Genomic DNA, 24,247 nt, shown 5'->3' on the forward strand with positions numbered 1-24,247 from the left:
CTTTTCTCCTGTGCTGGATGCATCCAGCTCTCCAACAGTGGACTTGAAGTTCTTCAGTGTTGGAACTCGGACAGGCTCTCCTTGCTCTTACCTGCAGATGGCCTATTGTGGGACCTTGTGATCATGTGAGTCAAAACTTAATAAACTCCCCTTCATAGATATCTATTCCATTAGTTCTGTCCCTCTAGAGAACCCTAATACAGCCTCTATCAGTCTTTTATTTTAGAGATGGAGGTCTCACTATGTTGGCCAGGTTGGTCTTGAGCTCTTGGCCTCAAGCAATCCTCCTGCCTCAACCTCCTAAAGTGTTAGGATTACAGGCGTTGAGCCACTATGCCAACCTCTTTTTTATTTCTTTATAATTGTATATTCTTGCCAAATATTACACAGTGTAGGCCAAGAAAGCAAAGGAACTCTTCCAAACTTGAGTTTATCTGTCTGTGGCTTGAGCCAAATGAGGATAAGGCAGGAAACAGCCCACAGGATGTCACTCCTGCCTTGAGGCTGGTTCCCTGGGGCTGGGGTTTTCAAATAGGAATCCTTTGGGGAGGGTTTCCAAAAGCAATGAGGTATTTTCTAGATAAACAAGGAAAACTTAAGTGCCTAAGTATACTCTCACTCATTGCTGGTGGAGTATAAATTGTTTGAAGCTCTATAGGAGGCCGGACGTGGTGGCTCATGCCTGTAATCCCAGCACTTTGGGAGGCCAAGGCAGGCGGATCACCAGAGGTCAGGAGTTCGAGACTAGCCTGTCTAACATGGTGAAACCCCGTCTCTACTAAAAATACAAGAAAAATTAGCTGGGAGTGGTGGTGGGCACCTGTAATCCCAGCTACTCGGGACGCTGAAGCAGGAGAATAGCTTGAACCCGGAGGCGGAAGCTGCAGTGAGCTGAGATCGCACCACTGCATTCCAACCTGGGCGACAGAGCAAGACTCTGTCTCAAAAAAACAAAACAAAACAAAAAAAGCACATTCCAGATTCCTCAAAAAATTAAACACAGAACTACCATATGACCTGGCAATTCCACTTTTGGGTATATATCCAAAAGAACTGAAAACAGGGACTCAAACAGATATCTGTACACCCGTGTTCACAGCAGCACCATTCCCAATAGCAAAGCCGCAGAAAACACCCAAATGTCCAAATGAACAAACAAAACGTGGTGTATACATGCAAGGAGATATCAGCCTTAACGGGAAAGAAATGCTGATCTGCCCGACGACACAGAAGAACCTTGAAGACATCATGCTAAGTGAAATAAGCCAGTCAAAAAGGGACAAATACATGATTCCGCTTATATAAAGGACCTAGTAGAGGCAAATTCAGAGACACAGTAGAACAGTGGTTACCAGAGTCTGGGAGAATGGGCAGTTATTGTTTAATGGGCACAGAGTTTCTCTTTGGGATGATGAAAAAGTTCTGGAAACGGACAGTGGTGATGGCTGCACGACATTGTGAATGCACTTAATGCCACTGAATTGTATACTTAATGATTAAAATGGTAAATTTTATACTATGTATATTTTACAGTAGCTATATATATAATTTTTAAAATGCAAATGTCCTTTGATCCAGCAATTCCACTTCTAGGTTTTTATTCTTCCACAGATACACTTGCACATATATACTATGATATAATAAATACCGCTACAAGGATATTTATTACAGCAATGTTTACAGTAGCAAAAGATTGGAAATAACCTAGAAATCTATGGAGAGCGCAACAAAATAAATTGTTACTTTTGTATAATGACTGAACACAGTCATTAAGAAGGTTGTGGCAATGCAATACAGACTTAGAATGCTCTCTAAGATAGTAGGTGAAAAGATCTAGTGCCTGTAATCCCAGCATTTTGGGAGGCCGAGGCGGGCAGATCACTTTAGGTAAGGAGTTCAAGACCAGCCTGGCCAACGTGGTGAAACCCCATCTCTACTAAAAATACACAAATTAGGCAGGCGTGGTGGTGCATGCCTATAGTCCCAGCTACTTGGGAGGCTGAGGTAGGAGAATCGCTTAAACCCAGGAGGCGGAAGTTGTGAGTCGAAATTGTACCACTGCACTCTAGCCTCAGCAACAGAGTGAGACTCTGTCTCAAAAAAAGAAAAATAGATTTAGTACAAAAGAGTGAATAGGCTATCATCTGTGTGTGTGTGTGTGTGTGTGTGTGTGTGTGTGTGTGTGTGTGTGAAAATTCTATAAACCTCTGAAAGGGTACATTAAAAAGATAATAGTGACTGGTGATTCATGGATGGGGGCTGGATGGCTAGGGGAAATGAAGGTGGGATGACTTACTTTTCCTAGTATACCCTTTTTCATACTTTTACGATTTTATACATGTATACGTTTGCTATAGAGGATCTTATAGCAGGCCAACCCTCCAGCCAAGAACAACTATAAAAGCTGGATAAAATACATAAAAAGAACCTAGCTCTTTAAAGGCAATGGAAACAACCAAAGCAGCCAGGATTTGAGGGGCCAAGATCTCAGGGGAAGGGAAACACATTTAAGTGAGCCCAATGCACTCCACCACTTTTCCCTTGCGACCAGGGTCGAGAGGCTGGAGAGAGAGCAATGATGAGGGCTTTCAAGGGGCTGGAGAAACAAGGACTGTGAGCAAGGATTCCAAGGCAGAGAGAGTAGAGGGGCTAAGACCCCGGGGAAAGAGAACCATACAACAGTGAGTCTGACTTTCTGTACACTATTACCCTTTAGTATTTGCATGGGGCAAGAGACCAAGAATCCAAGCAGAAAGTGAGACTAAGAGGCTAAGCTTTCAGTAGCCTCACATTGCTGAGGAGTTCAAGATACCATGAGAAAAGCACCAGCCTTTCAGGTAAGACCCCTGAGAAGCTATTTCCTATCTGCCCCTGCTCTAACCATCTGCCACAAGAAAAGTAAATCTTCCCTGGAGAGACACAACATTATTCAGAAGCACTACTATTTCCCATCCACAATATCTAGTATTTAATTTTTAAAAATGCCAGGTGGCTAAAGTGGGAGGATTGCTTGAGGCCAGGAGTTTGAGACCAGTTTGGGCAACACAGTGAGACTCCATCTCTACAAAAAACCATTTTTTTAATTAGCTGGGCATGGTGGCACACGCCTGCAGTCCTAGCTACTCAAAAGGCTGGGGTGGGAGTTTTGCTTGAGCCCAGGAACTCGAAGATGCATAAGCCACTGCACTCCAGCCTGAGTGACAAAGCAAGACCCTGTCTCAAAAAAAAAAAAAAAAAAAAAGAAAAAAAAAAAGGCCAAGATGCCAGGTTTCAACAACAAAAAAATGCATACCCATTGGTATTATTATGGTTGTCAGTCAGGAACTTTAAAATAAATGTTTAATATATTCTAAAAAATAGATGACAAAATAGGAATACATCGTTAGGGACCTAAGTCCAGTTTTTAAAATCAAATGGAAATTCTAGGACAGAAAAATATATAATTGAAATTGATGACTCAATAAAAGAGCTCAACCACTGATCTGACAAACCAGAGGAAGACAGGATTAGTAAACTGTAGATTAGGCCCATCAAAACATTGTCTGAAGTGCAAAAAGAAAAAAAGATTCAGAAAAAGAAGAGAGATACTTCTGGAACATGGTAAAAATGTCTAACAAGGATATTGAGTCCTAGAGGAAAGGAGCGAATGGGAAGAAGCAATAAAAAGATACTGGCTGAAAATGTTCAAAACTGACGAGAGATGTCAAACCAACATTCAAGAAGCTCTTTGAATACCAAGCAGAGCAACTGCAAAGAAAACTCCCAGGCGCAGCATCGTAAAACTGCTGAGAACCAAAAACAAAGAGCATTGGGAAAGCAACCACAGGAAAAAGTATGCATTAATGTAACGGGAGCAACAGTCTATCTGACAACTGGCATTTCAACAGGAATGAAGGAAGCGGGAAGGATAGTGAAATGCTTTTAAAGGGCTAGAAGTAAAAAATGGCAGCCTAGAATTATCTGCAAAAAGTCTTGGCATGATTTGAATGTGTCTGTTCAAAATTCAGGTGCTGCCAATGTAATACTATTAAGAGGTGGGGCCTTTAAGAGGGGATCAGGCCATGAGGGTTAAGGCTCTTTTAAAAGGGGCATCACATAACATTCAGCTAGCCCACCCTTCTGCCATGTATGGACACCAGAGCAAATGCTGGTGCCTTGATCTTGGACTTCCCGGCCTCTAGAACTGTAAGTAGTAAATTTCTGTTCTTTATAAATTACCCAGTTTCAGGTATTCTGTTGTAGCAGCACAAAACGGATGAAGACAGGTATCTTTCGAAAATGAAAGCAAAATAAGCACACTCCTAGGTAATCAGAAATGGAGAGAATTTGGTACCAAGAGATCAGCATAAAAGGTAATACTAAAGGGAATTCTTCAAGAAAATGAAGCAAAGAAATGGAGAAAGGAAGAGCAATTGAGAGGGCAAAACTGTGGGTAAATATAAGTAAAGAATATTAATAAGAATATTACATAAAATAATCACAATAAGGACTTGTGGGGTTTAAAATATGTTGAACTAAAACACATTATACTAATAAGCAGAAAGTGGGGGGCAGAGGCTTGTGAAATGAAGTTAAAAGGTTGTGAGGTCCTTGCATCATGACTAAAGAGGTAAGTACTAATTTGGGGCAGATGCAAATATGACATAGTTGACATTATTTCATTTTTTAAAGATTTTGACAGATTTGGCAGAATATACATTATTCTCAAGTGCATCAAAACTGACCACATGCTAGGCCAAAAATCAAGTTCCAAGAAATTTCAAAGACTTGAAATTAGAGTATGTTCTCTGACCAGAATAAAGATAAAAAACAACATAATTGTAAACAAATCCTCAAATGTTTAGAACTTAGTGCACTTCTACGTCGCCCATGGATCAAAGGCATTTCAATGAAAATTAGTAAATATTTTAAATTAAACGACACTGAAAATATGGCATATTAAAACTTGTGAGATAAAGCTCAAACAATGTAATGAGTGAGATCTGTAGCATTAAATGCATGTTTTAGGAAAGAAAGGCTGAAAATCGGTCATCTGAAGTTCTATTTTGGCTGGACCTGGGGGCTCACGCCTGTAATCCCAACACTTTGGGAGGCCGAGGTTTCGAGACCAGCCTGACCAACGTGGTGAAACCCTGTCTTTACTACAAATACAAAAAATTAGCCGGGCGTGTTCCCAGCTACTCGGAGGCTGAGGCAAGAGGATACCTTGAACTCAGGAGGTAGAGGTTGCAGTGAGCCTAGACTGCGCCACTGAACTCCAGCCTGGGTAACAGAGCAAGATTCAGTCTCCAAAAAACAACAATAAAGTTCCATTTTAAGAAGGTAAAAAAGGACACAAATTAAGCCCAAAGAAAAAAGAGGCAATGACAAAGTTTAACTTAGAGATAAGAGGCTGGGCGCGGTGGCTCACGCCTGTAATCCCAGCACTTTGGGAGACTGAGGCAGGCAGATCACAAGGTCAGGAGATGGAGACCATCCTGGCTAACATGGTGAAACCCCACCTCTACTAAAAAAAAAAAATACAAAAAAATTAGCCGGGCATGGTGGCAGGCACCTGTAGTCCCAGCTACTCGGGAGGCTGAGGCTGGAGAATGGCGTGAACCCGGGAGGCAGAGCTTGCAGTGAGCCTAGATCGCGCCACTGCACTCCAGCCTAAGTGACAGAGCCAGACTCCGTCTCAAAATAAATAAATAAATCAGAGATAAGAAATGTACAAAGAAAGCAACAAAGATTAACGGTGGTCTGCTGAACAGGCTAAAACAATAAGCCTTAGCAAGACTGATTAAGAAAAATTTTAAAAAGGCACAAATTATCTTCAGTAATGAAAAAAAGGAACATCATTACCCATTTCAGACAAAAGATAAAAAGAAAATATTAAGAATATTATGCCAAAATTTTGAAAATTTGAATGGACATGTTTCTGGGGGAAAAAAACCTCTCTAAAACCTATATAAAAGGAAATATAAAATCTGAACAACCTTATTATCTATGACGGAAACAGAATCTTCCCCTAAAGAACACTCCAGGCCTATAGGACTTCTTCATTAGGGCCTTTTTTATTTTTATTTTTTTATTTTTAAAGCCAGGATCTCACTTTGTTGCCCAAGCTGGAGTGCAGTGGCACAATCATGGCTCACTGCAGCCTCAACCTCCTGGGCTCAAGCGATCCTCCCACCTCAGCCTCCCAAGTAGCTGGGACTACAGGCATGCACCACCACACTCAGCTAATTTTTTAATTTTTTGTAGAGATGGGGTCTCGCTTTGTTGCTCAGGCTGGTCTTGAACTCCTGGACCCAAGTGATCCTCCTGTCTCAATCTCCCAAAGTGCTGATATTACAGGCATAGCCACCTGCCTGGCCACACCTACAGGCCAGCCACATGCCTGGCTGTGACTTCCAAATTTAAGGAATAACCCAAATTATCTTCAAACTATCAGGGGTTAGAAACTTCTCAAATTATTTAATGAGTTGGGCATAACCGTAATACCAAAACCTGTCAAGCACATGGAAAGGAAGGAAAATGGCAGGCAGGTTTCTCTCTTGAACAGAGACAGAAGACGTAAGGAGAATGTAGGTAAATGGAAACTCACAGGGGGCAGGATTCCATCCTTCCCAATGGTAACAGTGCTTTACCAATCCCAGTGGGATTCACATAGATTCCTTCTTACCCTTAAAACAATCTCTCAGCAGGTCACGGTGGCTCATGCCTGTAACCCCAGCACTTTGGGAAGCCGAGGCGGGTGGATCACCTGAGGTCAGGAGTTTTGAGACCAGCCTGGCCAACATGGTGAAACCCCGTCTCCACTAAAAATATAAAAAAAAAAAAAATTAGCCAGGTGTGGTGGCAGGTGCTTGTAATCCCAGCTACTTGGGAAGCTGAGGCAGGAGAATCGCTTGAACCCGGGAGACGGAGGTTGCAGTGAGCCGAGATTGTGCCACTGCACTCTAGCCTGGGTGACAAGACCAAGACTCCATGTCAAAAAAAAAAAAAAAAAAAGAAAGAAAAAAAAATCTCTCAAAAGTTTTACATATGGGGATACTGAAGTCCAAAGAGGGGCAGCAACGAGCCCAAGGCCACACTCAGGACAGAGCCTGGCTAGACAAATTCATCCCACTTGGAGAATTCTAGGCTCCGGCTGTGTGCCCAGCTAGGCCTGAGGATGCACCTTACCCCTCAACTCCCCCCACACCTCTGCACCTCCCTTCCACCTAACCTGGACCTCTCCATCCTGGGGCCAATGTCTGCTCTGCCACTGCAGCGTGGGCAGGCAATGCAGAGAAGCACCACTGTGGCCCGGGCAGGCTGCTAGCACCCTCAGGAGCCCTGGGGCACCCAGGGATGACCCTCTCTGCTGGTGCCCAGGCTCCCTGCACTGACCCTGCCCAGAGGAAGCATATGGCCCTGGGTGTTAGAAAGCAGGCCTCATGGCCCCGTGCACTCGGCCTACCTCTAAAAAAGCTCTATGGGTTACAAAGCACTTCTGGGTTTCTCATTTGACCCTCAAGAAACCTACAAGACAAATGTCAATACCTCCACTTTGCAGATGAGGAAAAGTGAGGCTCTGTAGGGTGGATAACTTATCTAAATTATCTACACGAGAACAGCCCCAGGGTGAAACACAGGGCCTTCCTCATCACACCAGGGGGCCTCCACAAGACGGTTCAGTGTGAGTTAAGATGTCCTAGATTGTACAATATGAGACAGACAAGATCAATGCAGACAGACATGCTGAAAACTGCGCAAATGTTATATAAAAAGAATGCTCGCCTAGCTAGGCGGTGACACATGCATTTTTTTTTTTTAAGTGCAGAGAACCCAGAGGGATGCCTCCACAGTGCGAGATCAGATACAAACAAGAAATGAGACAGTATTAAAAAAAAACAGAGTTGAAGAATGCCTTTCAAGGGGCTTTACAAGCCAGGAAAGGAGGATTCTTTAAATATACACAGGCCACAGCAGCTCCTCAATAACCACAGGTCACAGGGCCCAGGGGAAGGGGCGAATACGATGGGCTACTAAGCCTGGACCTTTGTCACAATGGCAGCCAGGGAAAATCCCCTCCTATGGGGGCCTTCTGTAAGGAATGAGATTGGTAAACGGGGAGGAAGAAAACATCCCCAGGACAGTGGAATCGGAGGCCCATCAGCTAAATGACTTAGTGTGTGCCTCGGAACAGCACTGTCTAGAGAATGTGAGTGAGGCCCGACGGTGGGGCTCCTGCAAGCCAAGGGCTCCGGAGTGGCCCCCGAAACCAAGGCCCTGTCCACCCGAGTGGCAGCATCTATGAAAACAGCAATTTCAGTGAATCAGGAGCACACAGAACCTCCTGAACACAGATGACATGGTTCCCAGAGCAGAGAATCATAGTGTCAACCTATTGAGTTTGTTTTTGAAGGGGAAATAACCCTATGGATAACAGGAAATTGGTGGGTGTAATTTCTGGAGACCTTCAAAAAGCATGTGAGATTAATCCAGGCCAAAACTATGTACAAGCCTGAGTGACATGAGAACTGGGAGGATGGTGCGGCCATGGAAGAGACTGGAGGAAAGCCAGGAAACCGAGGCAGGGACAGCGAGGCCTCTCTCCAGATGGAGAATGTAAACAAGGGCATCCCCGGGGAACAGGCTGGTTTTCCTTCTTCAGCAGTGACCTCAGATGGGAAGGTAAGGGAGGGAGGAGCTCCCCTGAGTGGGGGTGTGAGGCTGACACACTTCACCCAGCAGGGCCCTGAGGCCGCAGGATGGGTCAAGGCCCCACCCACGGCATGAGCAGGTGCACAGGGTGGATCTGCGGTTGGACCAGCAAGAGTGGTGGTGGAGGCGTGACGTGAAGGAATGCCCGTGATGCCCCTGACCCTGACCTTGGTCCCGAGAAGGTCATCTGAGAAAGGAATGCAGGAAGTCATAGCTGGCTGCTTGGGCAATGCATTTCTTGAAAGGGAAAAGTTTTACATTACGAAAACAAAACAAAGAGCAGGAAGGCAGAAGAGGAGAGATCTGGGTCAAGCAGAAGCAGATTTAGGAGTGAGAGGCTCCCTGAAGCTCAGAAGCTGCCCTCTAATAGTGAGGAGCCCAGAAGACAAAGTTCAGAAGCAAACACCTGAACAGGGTGGATGAACGCCAAGCCCCACGGAGCCAGGGGCTGCCGCTCTGGTTCCTCTCCCTCTGACAAGGCCACAGTCCCTGAGCCCAAGCTCCAGGCCCGAGGCCTCCCGAGAGCCTCACCTGCTGCTGGCTCTGCTCTTCCAGGTTCATCTTCACCTCCAGCGACTGGCGGGCCTCCAGGAAGGCCTTGCGGTGCTTGCGGTCAGCCATGTAGTAGGACATGATGCCCACAGCGATGGCGCACAGGTAGAGGAAGACGTTGGCCAGGATCTGCACCCCAAGGAAGAAGAGAGAAAAGGCCAGGGGTGAAGGCACGTCTTCAGAAAAGGGGATGGAGAAGGGGATGGAGGAGGTGGGGTGGGTGGTGACCAAAATCAAACCTCAAGTTGCCCAATGTCCAGGGAGGGGCCCAGCACAGCCTTGGACCCCAGAGCCTCAGACACCACCACATGTACCACGGATGGGTGGTCCACCCAGGGGCATGGCTCAAGGCCTGAAAGGCTCAAGGGTTCCACGAGGGGCAGGGTGCAGGCGTTCAAGCCTGGCTGAGGGGCTGTGGATCCCCCCTCCGGCTTCCCAACAAAGCAAGGCTGGCCAGTCCCTCCACCTGTGACGCCTGAGCAGACCCTCTGCCACCCATTCATTCCTTCACGCATTTGCTCAAGCAGCACTCACTCAGGTGCTCTGCCAATTTGTTGGTAAGGAGGGTGCACAAATCCCAGGTCCCACTGAGCAGGACTGTGTAATCCTAAAAGCTCAGATGGCTTGGGATGCGGCAGGACCCCTGAAGAGGTCTCAGGCTGATTCGGCAGTCACAATGTTTACCTTACACATGTGTCATAGGTTTCTAGTTTTCTGGGATTCACAGGTATCCTCTCAGCTAACCCCACCTGCCAGCAGGTGAGGGGTGCCCAGTACCAATACTCAGGTCTCAAGCTATTGTGGGGGTGTCCTGGGACTTGAGGTCTCCCCCACTGCCTGCAAGGTCAGTACCCCGGCTCAAAGGGCTTCTGGGGCATCAAGTGCCTATTCCCCATCCCTGGCACCCTGAAGATGCCCCAGGTGTCCTGGCCCACTTCCACAGGCTGTAGGGACTGCAGATCTGATGGTCTCCTGCTGGGGTAACCTTGGATACAGATCTGAACATCCCAACCCTGCCTGGCGGCCAGGCCTGGCTGCTGCTACTCCAATCTTTGGCCATGCCTGGGCCCCAACATGGCTGGACCAAGTGCTAATCCTTCCTCCTCCTCCAAGACCACTGGCCTCAGTAAGCCTTTTCAAGCAAGGCCTCTTTCCTGGTCTGGCTCCTCCAGCTTCCCTGGCGCCAGCTCCATGCCCTTCCCCCGAGGCTGTGGCCACCCTCCCAGCCCTGGATCCCCGACGCCTCGCCTGCTAGGTGTGGTTTCTCGGAACCGAGTTTGGAGTTGAGAAATGAGATGGGAAGAGAAGCGGAAGAATTTCTCAATTTCTGGCCCTCAGGGGATAAAAGATTGGCCTCAGAGTAGACTGTATTCTGGGGTAGGTGAAAAAGGCAGGGAAGTCAATTTTTTATTTTTAAACAAGATGGTCTAACAGACAACAAGGGAAGCTGGTTCTCACATGAATTTTCTGGGTTCTCTTGGTTATGCCATATTCCCTGAACTGTGTTGTGTTTCATCAGAGCTGATCAACACTTGCCCTGAGGATCAACCACCACCACACCCGGCAGAATGTTCCTGCAGCCTCTGTGGCACTCAACAAGGGCCCGTTGCGTGACGAATCAGGAGGTCAGGCGAGTCTCAGTGCTGGTCAGCAAGTCACCGGGTGTAGATTCCCAAGCTCTGCTGGCGTCTGGTTCCAGCTTGTAATGACCTGTTGACCTCTTGGGTCTGAGCAGCCCCAGTCGCCTACCCCGTTTGTGGGGCAAGTCTGTTGGGGCAGGACAACCCACCCCTGTCTGAGTGGTCAGTACCATATGTCCTCAGGCCACCCAGTCAACACCTGAATGGCCAGCCTTATTGGGGCCAGAAGGGAACTGTGAGTGCAGGTTGGGAAGGGGAGGCCTCTGTGACTTGGGGGAGGCTCCGGGACTGGAGCCAGCCTAACTCTCTGGCCAACCTGGGAGCTGGCCACCTCTCCTTCCCTCCAGCCTCCTTCCCGGCTGGGCTTCTGTGGGCCAGGTCTTCTTCTGGCCTTGCTTTTCCCCTTGGAAGTGAGGCGGACAAAGACCAGACAGTGTCAGGGCTGGAGGGAGCTTTGAGGGGAGCTGATTCTCAGCTCACCGGTGAAACTGGAGCTCAGAGTAGTGGTTGGACCTGGAAAATTGCCCAGCCGGTGAGGGGCAGGATCAGAGTCCAGGGTTCCCCCCGAATTTATGTCCCCATATTGTATGTACCTACAAGTGCAGTGAAAAAGCAGATTTTATTTTTAAAAACTTGCAGATCAATGAAAGAAATACTGTCCTACATAGGAGGTCACCAGGCATGAGCCAAGCCTGACCCTGCTTCCAGCCTGGGGTCATAATCTTTGGTGATTGGTGTGAAGTTTTTCTGAGACAGTTGTTCTGGTGGGCTGCACAGCAGGTCTTAGGTAGACAACCGAGGGGGTAATGACAGTAACTCCTTGCACAAGCTCAGTGCTGTTCACTCGATAGAGCCTGTCCCATCTGTCCCTATGAGATGGCCAGGCAAGGTTGTCCATCCCTACCAGGGAACTCCCTCCCTGCCTGCCAGTGAGCTGATTCTAGAAAATTCTGTGAATGCCAGGTCTTGGGTTTCCTAAAGCACCCCCAATTCTCTCAACTTGCCTCAACTGAGGAGGAGGACCCCCTGGGGCGCTGCCCCCTGTTCCATCCCTATGGTCCCTCTCTCCCACAAAGTCGTGGCTACAAGGCCTGCAGGGAGCTTGGCAACCCCCAACCTCCCCCACCCCACCCCCCGTGGGTGTAGCTGATGGGAGGCTCAGCCACAACCCTACAGGCCAACTCACAGCCTCCAGGGCCAGGCCACAAATCCCACTGGGTGATGCTGCCAAGCCCAGAAAACCTCAAGGCAGAAGCAGGAGCCAGCTTTGAGAGAGATGATTCCAGAGTGAGCCGCAGGAGCTGCGCTTGTGGTGGGAGAGGCTCCCGACAGGGTCACCTGGGAAGGTGGCAGCACCCTGGGGTGCTCACGCAGCGACGGGAGGCGAGGGTGGCAGCAGTGCTCCCAGGCAACACTGACGTGCAGCCTGGGTGGGGAGTCCCCCTCCCGGCCTCAGTTTCCTCACCTGTATCCTCACCTCAGCATCACAACATTAAGTCCTAGACACAAGCACGCACTTTATCAGCCTCATCTCCTCTAACTTTACAACCAGTGCTGAGGCAGGTGATGTCACTCTGGTTTTACAGAAGGAATTGAGATTAAATTAAACAAGGTGTTAAAACTAGAGGGTGAGATCTCCTCCAGCATTCAAATCTCATTATTCTATGGTTCAAAACCCCTCCCTAAAGCACTCCTCAACTTATTTACATATTTCACAACCCCATCTTTTCCCAGAAAGGAGTGTGGACTTCTTTTTGGGAGGGGGGCGGTGGTGCAGATAGAGACAGGGTCTCACTCTGTTGCCCAGGCTGCACTGCAGTGGCACATTCAGGGCTCACCACAGCCTCAAACTCCTGAGCTCAAGCGAACCTCCCACCTCAGCCTCTTGAGTAGCTGGGATGACAGGTGCACATCACTTGTCCCAGCTAATTTTATTCTTTGTAGAGATGGGGTCTTGCTATATTGCCCAGGCTAGTCTTGAACTCCTGGGCTCAGGTGATCCTCCTGCCTCAGTTGCCCAAAACAATGGGACTACAGGCATGAGCCACCATACCTGGCCTAGAGATTTTTAAAACTGAAATTTAGATAGTCACGAAGATACTAGCCCTATAGCACTTAGGTGTGAGCTGCACGCATTTTAAATCTGAAACAATACTTGCAGATTTTCCACAGCCTCCATACACAGTGGTGGCCATTATCATTTCCACAGCTTCCATACACAGTGGTGGCCATTATCTCTAAGCTAATAAGATTCAGAAATTTCCTGTTTCATATTCATAAATGTGTATCTCACTTAGCAAAATGAATGTGCCCCTCAAAATATGTCTGTAAAAAGTAAGTTTCACTCTTTCAGCATGAGCAGGGCCCTGAGCTGGCCCTAGGAGGGACGGTGGCGTGACATCGTCCCTGTCCCCAGGGCCAGGCAGGTGTGGCCGCAGGAAGAACTTGATGCTGGGTAAGCAGGGCAGCTGCCGTTCCTCTAAAATGCATCCATCAGGATCGCCTCTCATTACAGGTGAAGAACTGAAGACCCAGGAAAAAATTCTGCCTCTGGGGAAAACTTGAACCCTAGCGAGAATCTGAAATAGGTCTTTCACGTCACCATGACACATGGGTTTCTCTGCACCAGGCCTTGAGCTCTGCTGATCTGGGATTAATTTTCCGGTGTTCCCACTCCAAGGTACGAGTGAGAAGTGACCTTCCTTTTTAGAACTCTTCTCCCTCCAGGGTGGCCCTTCCCCACACCCACCACTTTGCAAACCCCTCATCCCATTCTACCCAACCTGGCCCACTTGGCAGGCTCCTGTCCACCTGGGAGCCCTGCAGAGACCTCCCATCTGCTCCATCACTTGTACTGCTGCACCCAAGGCAGCCCCTCCTCCTCCCCCATGTCCCCCACACATGGCCCTGCCACTGTGTGCGGGAAGGTGGGCACTGTCCTCACATCTGTGTCCTCAGCCCATCCTGGCCCCATCCAGCCCTAGGTGCCCAGGAAGCCTCACGCTGTTGGGTGGCACAGATGTGGGTTACGACTCTACACTCACAGACTCACCACCCACCCCTCCCCCCTTCAGCCTCTGGTCAGCAGGCGAGCTGAGCAGAAGCCATCAGTAAACATGACCTTCTGGCCCTAGATCCTTCCTGGGACCCAGCTTTGCTGCTTCTAGCCTTCCAGTGAGCATCCCCTACCTACCCCAGTCCACCCCCGCCTGAAGAACAAAGAGGAACAAGGCTCGGTCGCTCCCCTGAGGACAGCGGACAGGGTACATTTTGGGAGTGATCTAGAACATCAGACAGAGCAGACCAACAGGCAGGAGGAGAGGTGTGAACAGTTGGGGAGATCACATCCAATCAGGGTGATGCTGAGGATGGCTTCACGAAGACGTGAGCATTAAAGAAAGATGGGGGTCTCTCTGAAACACGAAGACGAGCTCAGACACCACACTGGGTGAGTGGCACACAGGAGACTCCTCCCTCTCTGGAATCATGAAGAGCAACTTATTCCCAGGGCTCCCGCTCAAAGTGTTCTGCACACACACAGGCACCATCTGACCACCAGACAGAGAGGGAAGAGGCTCCTTGGCCTGGGGCGAGACAGCTGGCGCTCGAAGCCTTACTTCTGGGCCCAAGGGCAACAGCTGTACCTGGGAGCTGACTGCACTGCCCAGTCCCGGGTCCTGGGGTGACTCACCAAACCCATGAGGTTGAGAAGCCTGCTCTGGACACCACCAAAGTCACCTCTTCTTGCCCCGTGGTCCCCTTTAGACTGCACAGCACGATCAGGCTCTGTGGTGACAGAGGTCCACAGCCCCTGGGGTCTCTATTTATAGATCTTTTTACAAGTTTCTTAATCCTAAAGTTTTCCTGGAAATAACTTATTTCAAAAGAATTGTTCTGCTTTTTTAAAATATACAACATTTTTAGAATAATAAAATGCATCTCCCAAATGGATAAACACTTGGACTAAAGTGTCATCTAACCCATGACAGCCTGATAAAGTGTTTCTAATATCCCGGCTCAGAACGCAACCATGAGAACATTCCTTTACAAAATCCTCCCTCCTGGAAGTTTACGCATCGCAAGATCCTTCACGTTTGCTAACAACCCGTAGGGAAATGGGGCTGCTCTAAGTGGGACTGTCGAGTGGAAGTCACCCCACTGGAGGCGGTTTGGTGGCTCTCTTGCCCAAACCAATCTCTTCCTATAAGCTCATTCCAGCCTGAAGGTTCCAGAACACTCTGGAACTGTGGAGAAGAAGCTGAGCAAGAGAAAGCTGCTCAGGGTGCAGTGTCCGTGTCGCCCACAGAGACCTATGACGTTCTGCGGCTGGAGGCCAGCCGCACGGGAAACTCGTCATTAAAACTTACTCAGATGCTTTAGGAAAAAGTCTCCTAGCAGCCATGGGGCAGGAAGGAGGAGGGGAGGTGGCCCCTCCAAAGGCAACCAGCCTTCTCCCACCCAAGGAGGCCCAGCCAGAGCCTGTGAGGCCGCCACTCAGCACAGATGGGTCCCACTTCTGGGGCCACTCTCGCTGCAGACGCCTGTAGAGGCTGCTGCAGTGGCTCCTTAAGTCCCTATGAAATGTCCCTACCCCTCAGAGGCCTTCCCTGCCCACCCCTACTCATTCTCCAGTCCTGCTTTGAGGCCCAGCACAGAATGTTCTGCACTTGCCCTTCTCTGTCCTCACTCCTTCGCCTCGTCGCCTGGAAAGCAAACTCCATGCAGCCGGGACACGGGTTGTTTCCCTGCTGGCTCCCCAGCACCCGGGACTGGCACATAGAAAGCCATAGGCAACAACTGGCAGATGGAGGGGCGGGAAGAGGTCAGGCCTCGCAGTCACATAGACCTGCACACGGCTGCCCGCAGGCTGTGTGCCCTGGAGCAAGTCGCCTGCCTCTCTGACATGGCTCCTCACCCTTGCAGTAACCCCACAGGCTGTTCCAGTAAGACTGAAAGACTGGGCCGGGCGCGGTGGCTCATGCCTGTAATCCCAGCACTTTGGGAGGCCGATGTGGGCAGATCACAAGGTCAGGAAATCGAGACCATCCTGGCTAACATGGTGAAATCCCGTCTCTACTAAAAAAAAATGCAAAAAGTTAGCCAGGCGTGGTGGGCAGGAGGCTGAGGCAGGAGAACGGCATGAACCCGGGAGGCGGAGCTTGCAGTGAGCCGAGATTGCGCCACTGCACTGCAGCCTGGGCGACAGAGCGAGACTCTGTCTCAAAAAAAAAAAAAAAAAAAAAAAAGACTGAAAGACTGCACATACCTCACACAGGGCTTGGCACAAAATACCCCTTTCATGACTTTTTCTTTGCTTCCATTGAAGGCAAATTAGTAACTAATAATAACACTTTGAGGACGTTTTACAAGAATCTTCATGTTCATCATTCTATTTGTTTCTCACAACAAGAGGAGGCAGGGCAGAGTTTTCTTATTCTCATTTTGCAAGAGACTTAAAGTCAGAGAAATAAGCTTCCGAGCCCCTAGTCTCCCAGCAGCGCTGAGACCGGAACCCAGACCCCCTTACCCCGGGGCCAGGGCTCCCCTCCCTCAATACGATCACCTTAGCTGAACTGTGATGGGTGTCTGCCAAGGCGGGGCTACAGCCGCGGCACAGGGGGCTCCCCAAGAGCTAAGGATCCAGTTAGGACCTGGAACATCTGGGCAGGTGGGAAGGAGGAGTCATAAGGTCTGCAGACAGTGAGTGACTCTCCCATGCTGCCTTGGGCAAATTCTAAGCATCGCTGCACCAAGAGAGACTCTGAGATCTCCAATAAATGCAACCTTAATCAATACAACACGAGGCTCAAGCCTGGGGTGCTGCTGCCATGCCCTTCCGAGCTGGGTATCTGCCAAGTTTCCACCATGTGCCTCAAAACAAAGGGGCCTCCAGAAGCTTTCTGCTTATAACTTGTGCATGCCTTTGGTAAGAGATGTTCAAAGTCTACCCTCTTCCAAAACAAAGAGGACTTCCAGAATAGGCATCCAGCCCATCTGACATGTTAGGCCAGGTCCCTCATGATCTGCCAGGCAGCTAGAGCAGCTTCTCAGGTTGCGCACTGCCAGGGGTGCCACTACACAGATCTGTCGTGATGGCTTCCCCAGACACGGAACATGGCGGCCTTGGCCCCAGGCTCTACTGTCTTGACTCTGGTTGCTCCTCAACAGGCTCCCCTCCCTCCAATCACAATGGGCCTCTCTCCAGTCCTCCCTATAAGATGTGCTATTTCAGGGATCCAAGGCTCCAACCAAAACAGCCTGCCTCTGCTGCCTGTGGAGGTCCACATGTTATGACGAGTCTGTGACCTTACCCTTGTCAAGCTCTTAGCAGAAATAATATTTCAAATGTAAGCATATCAGAGCTCAAAAGAGAATAAAAGTGGTAGAAAGTGACTAGGTAGCTGCTTTAGATGAGGTCTGAGGAAGACAGCTGGCCCTAGTTCTTCACTCCCCCGCAAAAGCATCACACAGCCACATCCTTGCAGAGTATAAAGTCTCCTTCCAGCTGGGCATGGTGGCTCACGCCTGTAATCTCAGCACTTTGGGAGGCCAAGGCGGGTGGATCACCTGAGGTCAGGAGTTCGAGACCAGCCTGGCCAATGTGGCGAAACTCATCTCTACTAAAAGTACAAAAATTAGCTGGGTGTTGTGGCAGGCACCTGTAATCCCAGCTATTCGGGAGGCTGAGGCAGGAGAATCGCTTGAACCCGGGAGGCGGAGGTTGCAGTGAGCCAAGATAGCACCACTGCACTCCAGCCTGGGCAATAGAGTGAGACTCCACCTCAAAAAAAAAAAAAAAGTCTCCTTCCTTCCTGCTGGCTTTGACCACGTGATTTGCTTTGGCCAAAAAGACTTCAGCATCTATAAAAGCAGCACATTCTGAAATGCCCATGAGGGCTGGCTTTTTGTTTTGTGCTTCTCCCGTCACCAGAACACCACACACTAAGAACCTCACTGGTACAACAGAACAATAAACTGATACAGCAGAACTGATCCCAAGCTGCAGCTTAGAGCCAAAGCCATCCCAGCCCAGATCAGCCCCACCCCAGCCAACCCACAGATGTGCAAGTGAGGAATGCCTGGCATGAGCCACCGAGTTCTGGGCTGTTATGCAGCATTAGGTGAAAACAGCTGGCACCGACGTTAGGACAGGTCTCTCGGAAGCAGTGTCATTTCAACTGAGAAGTGAATGCCAAGCAAGATCCAGCCACGGGAGAGGCCAGAAGGATGGGCATTCTGGGTGGAGAAGACACTAGCAGTGCAAAGGAGACCCCCCTACAGCATGAGGCACAGCCTTCCCTCAGTGCAGCTCCTGATGCGTCTGTGTGTATCTCCCAAGAGGATGCAGTAAGTACCTGAGATCATGGGTGTCACTTACATTTGTAGCCCCAGGGCCTTGCACAGCTATTGGAACATAGCAAACGTGAGCTGTGTGAACAGCTACAGTGGTAAAAAGAAGCTGAAAGAACAGTTCATTCTCCACTGAAGTGTTCCCCCTTGATAAGAGAGCCAAAATGAAGATAAACAGAGAAGTGGTTCTCAACCACAGGTGATCAGCCCACCACCGAGGCCATTCCACAGTGTGTCTGGAGACGTTTTGACAGTCACGACTAGGAGAGCGGGTGCTACTGGCCTCTAGTGGGCGGAGGCCAGGGATGCTGCTGAACATCCTACACTGCACAGGGCAGCCCCCACCACAAAGAACCATCCAGCCCCAAATGTCAACGGAGCCAACGTCAAGAAACCCTGGCCTGGAACAACGCCTTCTTCCTTTTTGATTCCTGAGTGTTCACAATGAACTTTTTCTTGACCTTTTCTACCAGAGAATAATGAACTCTGAAGCAATGGTGTGAACAAGTAGATTTATTTTTATGTCAATTGTAGAGTTTGTGGGCTAAGAGGAGAATGCTCCTGATACTTACTGAACATAAAGACACAACAGCCTGATCAATGCACCCACCCAGAAGGCCCACGTTTCAGGGGTGTAGATGGTCAAAACCAGAGAAGGCCATCTGGTCAACCTCCCCATTTCCATGCAAGAATGGACAGCTCAAATGTAGCATCTTATCCTAACCCAGGGATTACTCACTTGGACTAGGCTTTGGAGGAGTTGGTGAGCCCTTAAAGTAGGGCAGAAATCACACTTGGCCCGTCTCTGGGAAGCAAGTCCATTGCTCTTGTCAGATTCTCCTAAGGATCTGTTACTCCAGATGACTGAGAACCACAAAACTCCTCAAAAGCTCCCACTGCTCTTGCTGCTTCACTAGACACACAAACATCTGCTCACAGCATTTCCTGTCTTCTCTTATTGATGTGACCTCATTATTTAGTCACCTTGGTCTCTTTCTCTAGGCCAAATAATTCCAATTCTATTTAAAGAAGTCCGTTTTAAAGCCGAATCATGTTTGGTCTCATGTCTTTTTACAAAGTGGTCAGTTCAACTCTATTGAATACTCTGGTGAGTGGCGGACCCCATACTGGGCCCTGGAGATTATAAAATTACCTCAAGGAGCTGACTCTACTGGCAGTAAAGAAGCTAGCAGTGGCCGGGCACCGTGGCTCATGCCTGTAATTCCAGCACTTTGGGAGGCCGAGGCGGGTGGATCGCCTGAGGTCAGGAGTTCGAGACCAGCCTGGGCAACTTGGTGAAACCCCGTCTCTACTAAAAATACAAAAATTAGCTGGGTATATGGTGGCACATGCCTGTAGTCCCAAGTTATTTGGGAGGCTGAGGCACAAGAACTGCTTGAGCCCGGGAGGCAGAGGTTGCAGTGAGCCGAGATCACACCACTGCACTCCAGCCTGGATGATGGAGTGAGACCCTGTCTCAAAAAAAGGGCCAGGCGCGGTGGCTCAAGCCTGTAATCCCAACACTTTGGGAGGCAGAGGCGGGCAGATCACGAGGTCAGGAGTTCAAGACTAGCCTGGCCAATATAGTGAAACCCCGTCTCTACTAAAAATATAAAAATTAGCTGGGCATGGTGGCGGGCACCTGTAGTCCCAGCTACTTGGGAAGCTGAGGCAGAAGAATCGCTTGAACCCGGGAGTCGGAGGTTGCAGTGAGCTGAGATCTCACCACTGCCCTCCAGCCTGGGCGACACAGAGAGACTCTGTCTCAAAAAAAATAAAAAAAAGAAGCTAGCAGTGAACAGAGGATGTGCAGCTCGATTCTGAGGGAGAGGGGAGAAGTCAGCAAAGGCCCCCATGAGGAAGGAAAGCTTGGGCTGGCCACACTCAGTTGGAGTTTTCACATGTTCTGAAAACACAGAGCTTTCACATATATTTAAGCATATAGATTCTGGACGATAAAGAAAATTGAAACCAATTTCTAACTGACGGCCAATACTAAGTGAGGCAGGAATGAAAGGGCTCCATGCTTTTGCTCATGCTTTCTTACCTATAAGCAACACTGGGTACATTTATCACACAGATCACCTGACTTTCTGAAACTAACTTTAGATGAACTTGAAAGCAAATGTACCAGCTCGGAGGAAGACAAGTGTATAATCTGGAGACAGAAGATATTTAGGAATCCAGATAGATCATCACACAAACTTAAAATGTAAAAACTTGAAGGGAACAGATCACTGATGACACAGAAACACCAAGCCCTTATTCTCTTGTGTTTGTGGCCATGGAACACAGCAAACTCTTTGGATTCCAAAACTTCCTACCTTTCAATTCAGAAAATGACATTTTGAGAGTAAAACTTTTTGCACACCGTCTGCAACAAAAACCCACATCATCTGCTCTCCTGAATCACAGCTTTCTCCTGGGGATTTGATACATCTTTTTTCTCCCCTTTAGTCCTTCTAGGGGTTTCTCAGCAATTCCCTCTTCCCTACAGCCTCTCACAGCCTTCCCAGGGACATTCAGCATTTTTTTTTTCCAGTCACTGGTTCTGATGCAACCCTTCTGGCGTTGTTCCTGAGTTGCTGTTTTTCCAGTTCAGTGTTTCTGGGCCAGGTGCACCAGCGTCCCAAAGGGAGCTGGTTAAAATGGGAGATTCCAGGGTCCTAGCCCACAGAATCCCCGGCATCTGCATCTGTGCCCTCCTCCAGGTGATTCTCTTCTACAGAATCACTGTTCAAGGTGGAGTAGTAGATATGAAAACAAGGCAAAGAGCTTCCAGCCTTCCTGGGTCTTTAAACCAAACTCTCATGCTGCTGCCTTAGGCCATCTTCCTATGCCTATCCCCTATTTTTCTTCTATGCATTTATTGTCTTTATTTTCTAATAATCTTTTTTTTTTTTTTTTTTTTTTGAGACGGAGTCTCACTCTGTCACCCAGGCTGAAGTGCAGTGGTGCAATCTCAGCTCACTGCAACCTCCGCCTCCCAGGTTCAAGCGATTCTTCTGCCTCAGCCTCCCGAGTATCTGGGATTTACAGGTGCCCGCCACCACGCCCGGCTAATTTTTGTATTTTTAGTAGAGACAGGGTTTTGCCACGTTGGCCTGGCTGGTCTTGAACTCCTGACCTCAAGTGATCTGCCCGCCTTGGCCTCCCAAAGTGCTGGGATTACAGGTGTGAGCCACAGCGCCCAGCCCTCATTTTCTAACAGTCTTCTGATCCCTGGTTCACCCTCACCCTGAGTTAGGTACCCTTTTACCATCTTTTTTCCCTTCTGACCAGCATGTCTCCCACACATTCAAAGCTCCACCCACGGCGGTGCTTTCCACCTGTTGATGCTGCTTCATGTCTCCTGCGTTTAATTCAGTTCCCTGGTTTTCAATTCAGATTTAAAGTCCTTTCCAATTTTCCTTCTTCTTGTCCTGAGAGACTCTGGTCTGGAAGGACCATGGCAGGTCATGGACCAGGCCTCTCAATGCACTCTCTTAGTCACATGACAGAGACTTCCAAATTCCAAAATTCAAGTTCAAGGCCCTGGTGAACTATCACCTCTCCTAAATTCCAGTTCCTCAGCCTCCACTGTCTTGATGAGCACCACCTGCAGGTGCTCACTTCACCCTCACTCAGCAGATCCCAACTTTGGCTGTGCCTTAGAATCACCTGGGGAGTTATGCCCAGGCAGAGTCCACAAAAGTGGAACCAGAGGCCCAGACACTGGTATTGCTGAAAAGTTTCCAGGAGACCTTATGGCGGGACCAGGAGTGGAAAACGCTAAAGTCAATGTGAACACCCAAGCTTGTCATGGTCTCCCCTAACCAGCCCTGATCCACAGGTCTCACTTCTGCCAACACTACGCCCCAGCTAGGAACACAGCACCCAACACGGCGCAGGTCCTCAGTAACATTGGCTGAACGCCTGAACCAGCGCCAGCCTGCTCTCTCTCACTGAGCTCCTTTCTGTGCCTCCAGCAGGTCCTTCATCCCAGCTGGTCTTTCCAGGTAAAAGCCTCTGGGTCTCCTTTTTCCTCACTCTTGCTGCCACCACCTGGCTCACACCCTTACTTCCCACAGGGCTGGGGACAGACTCATCTCCCTGGTCCTGCCAATCCACCCTGGAACACATTAATCTTCCAAAATAATATTTTTGCAAGTACCACCTTCTGCTCAAAACACCTCAATAGCTGCCAATTGTCCAAGAGTTCAAAATCTTCATTCTGGCATTCAGGGTCCTATATACTCTGGGCTTTACCATGAACTTGAATCTAAACCCCGCCCCCACAGCTGCCTGAGGTAAACCATCTGCTTTAGCCAAGCTGACGTCCTCAGCATGTCACCAACTGGCCTCCTGACCTCGGCACATGCTGTAGCCCCTATTTTGAGAGCTCTTAAACTTCCCCACGAAAGTGCCTGGGGAGGAAGCTTCTCATTTTACTTGCTAATATATGTGGATTCTGCATTCTGTTCAATAAAATCCATGTTTGTATTTGTATTTTTAAGTGTTTAAAAATATTTGCCAAACAGATGTCTCCACCTGTTTCAGTGTAAGTGCCACTAGGGCAGGGACGACATCTGTCCCAGTCCCCACTGTGTTCCCAGCACTCAGTAGCACCCAGCACGCTGTCTGCTGGGTGAAGGAATGAATACATGGAGGACACAGGATGAAAGGAAATGCCAACTCCACGGTCATCCTGTGGCTTCACATGCGCCAAAGCAAACACAACCCTGCACCCCCAATGTGGGAAGCACGCACTTAGAATGCCCCTCCCCACCTGGCCGCCTTCCGCCTCCCCCTCGAAATCTAGCTGAACCCCGCCTCCTCCATCGAGCCCACCTGAGCCTCCTTGCGCTACATCATGTTTAGCAAACACGCCTCACCTCCACCCGGACCTTGCAAAGGGCCAGGTGGGAAGATAAACCTCCCTAAGATCTTCCCACAAGACCTGGGCACAGAACCCAGTCACCTCACTCTGCCCTCCTGCTTCGCCTTGACACAGAAACTCTGAAGCTCAGGGTCATGACAACCAGGAATGAAGGGAGAAGACCCCCGCCCCGAGATGGGTGTGAGCTGCGCTGCCAGGCCAGTTCTCGCCACTCATCATCCAGCTCCCAGCAGCGCAAAAGCTCTACTCTCCTTAGAAACTGGAGCTGGTTCCGGGCGATGCCCACGGACTCACTGCTCTCACTCACTCGGATGAGCCTGCCCTGGGGAGGGGAAGGGGGAAGCCCAGCTGGCAAGGAGGCTGCCATGTGCCCTGAGTGGGTGAGGTTAGCTGCTGCACAAGGCAAGCCGGTCCCTGGGGCTCTGCTAGGCAGATGCTGGGCCTGGCTGGCACAAAGGGGTGCAAATCACCAACTCGACAGTCCCCCACAAGTGACACCCCGTGGCTCACTCTTGGTCTTAACTTCTCCCTAGCAGCCCCAGCTTTCTTCCTGTATTAGTCCGTTTTTGTACTGCTATAAATAACTGCCTGTGACCGGGCAATTTATAAAGGAAAGAGGTTTAACTGACTCACAGTTCAGCATGGCTGGGAAGGCCTCAGGAAATTTACAATCATGGCGAAAGGGTCACAAAACACCTCCTTCACAAAGCAGCAGGAAGACGTGCCGAGCGAAAGGGGAAGAGCCCTTTATAATACCATCGGATCTTGTGAGAACTCACTCACTATCACGAGAACAGCATGGGGGAAACCACCCCATGATTCAACTACCTCCACCTGGTCTCTCCCTTGACACGTAGGGATGATGGAGATTACAATTCAAGATGAGATTTGGGTGGGGACGCAAAGCCTAACCGTATCACTTACTCTCTCTAGCCTTCCACCTGCGAGCTCCACGGCTCCTTTCCCTCGGAGACCAGGCCAGCCACTGCACCTGGGGGGATTTTCACAGCCTGGGAACACTCGGGGCTGCCAAGAGGTCGAAAACCAGGCCAAGTCCCGAGGGGTTCACCGGCATCATGCAGCGATAGCCGTGATGGCTCCTGAGGGTGCCTGGTTCCCCCGGCATCTGGCT

The 24,247-nt window shown here is 49.3% G+C and overlaps 1 protein-coding gene across 31 annotated transcripts in view, besides 1 other annotated feature; it reads right to left on the bottom strand.

The window, feature by feature from the left end:
- Nucleotides 1-24,247, bottom strand: part of ADCY3 (adenylate cyclase 3) — a 101,069-nt gene that overhangs the window by 44,176 nt on the left and 32,646 nt on the right. For 29 of the 31 annotated variants that reach the window (XR_007068865.1, NM_001377130.1, NM_001377129.1 and 26 more), the window contains one exon: nucleotides 9,226-9,375. Coding sequence is in view for 30 of the 31 variants with exons in the window: in NM_001377130.1 (NP_001364059.1) it covers nucleotides 9,226-9,375 (150 nt within the window). In the remaining variant the exon portion in view is untranslated. Of the gene's footprint in view, nucleotides 1-9,225; nucleotides 9,376-14,577; nucleotides 14,683-23,748; nucleotides 23,839-24,247 lie in introns of those variants that run through there. The other 2 variants (NM_001377131.1, XM_047443015.1) reach the window with 2 other exon arrangements.
- Nucleotides 10,822-11,566: an enhancer, noted in NCBI's record as "H3K4me1 hESC enhancer chr2:25097035-25097779 (GRCh37/hg19 assembly coordinates)". NCBI's record gives its function as "activates a minimal SCP1, AML or CMV promoter by ChIP-STARR-seq in primed H9 embryonic stem cells {active_cell/tissue: H9 hESC(primed)}" and the evidence as "EXISTENCE:reporter gene assay evidence [ECO:0000049][PMID:30033119]".

This window comes from Homo sapiens, chromosome 2, assembly GCF_000001405.40.
Source record: "Homo sapiens chromosome 2, GRCh38.p14 Primary Assembly".
In the NCBI taxonomy this organism is placed as follows: Eukaryota; Metazoa; Chordata; class Mammalia; order Primates; family Hominidae; genus Homo; species Homo sapiens.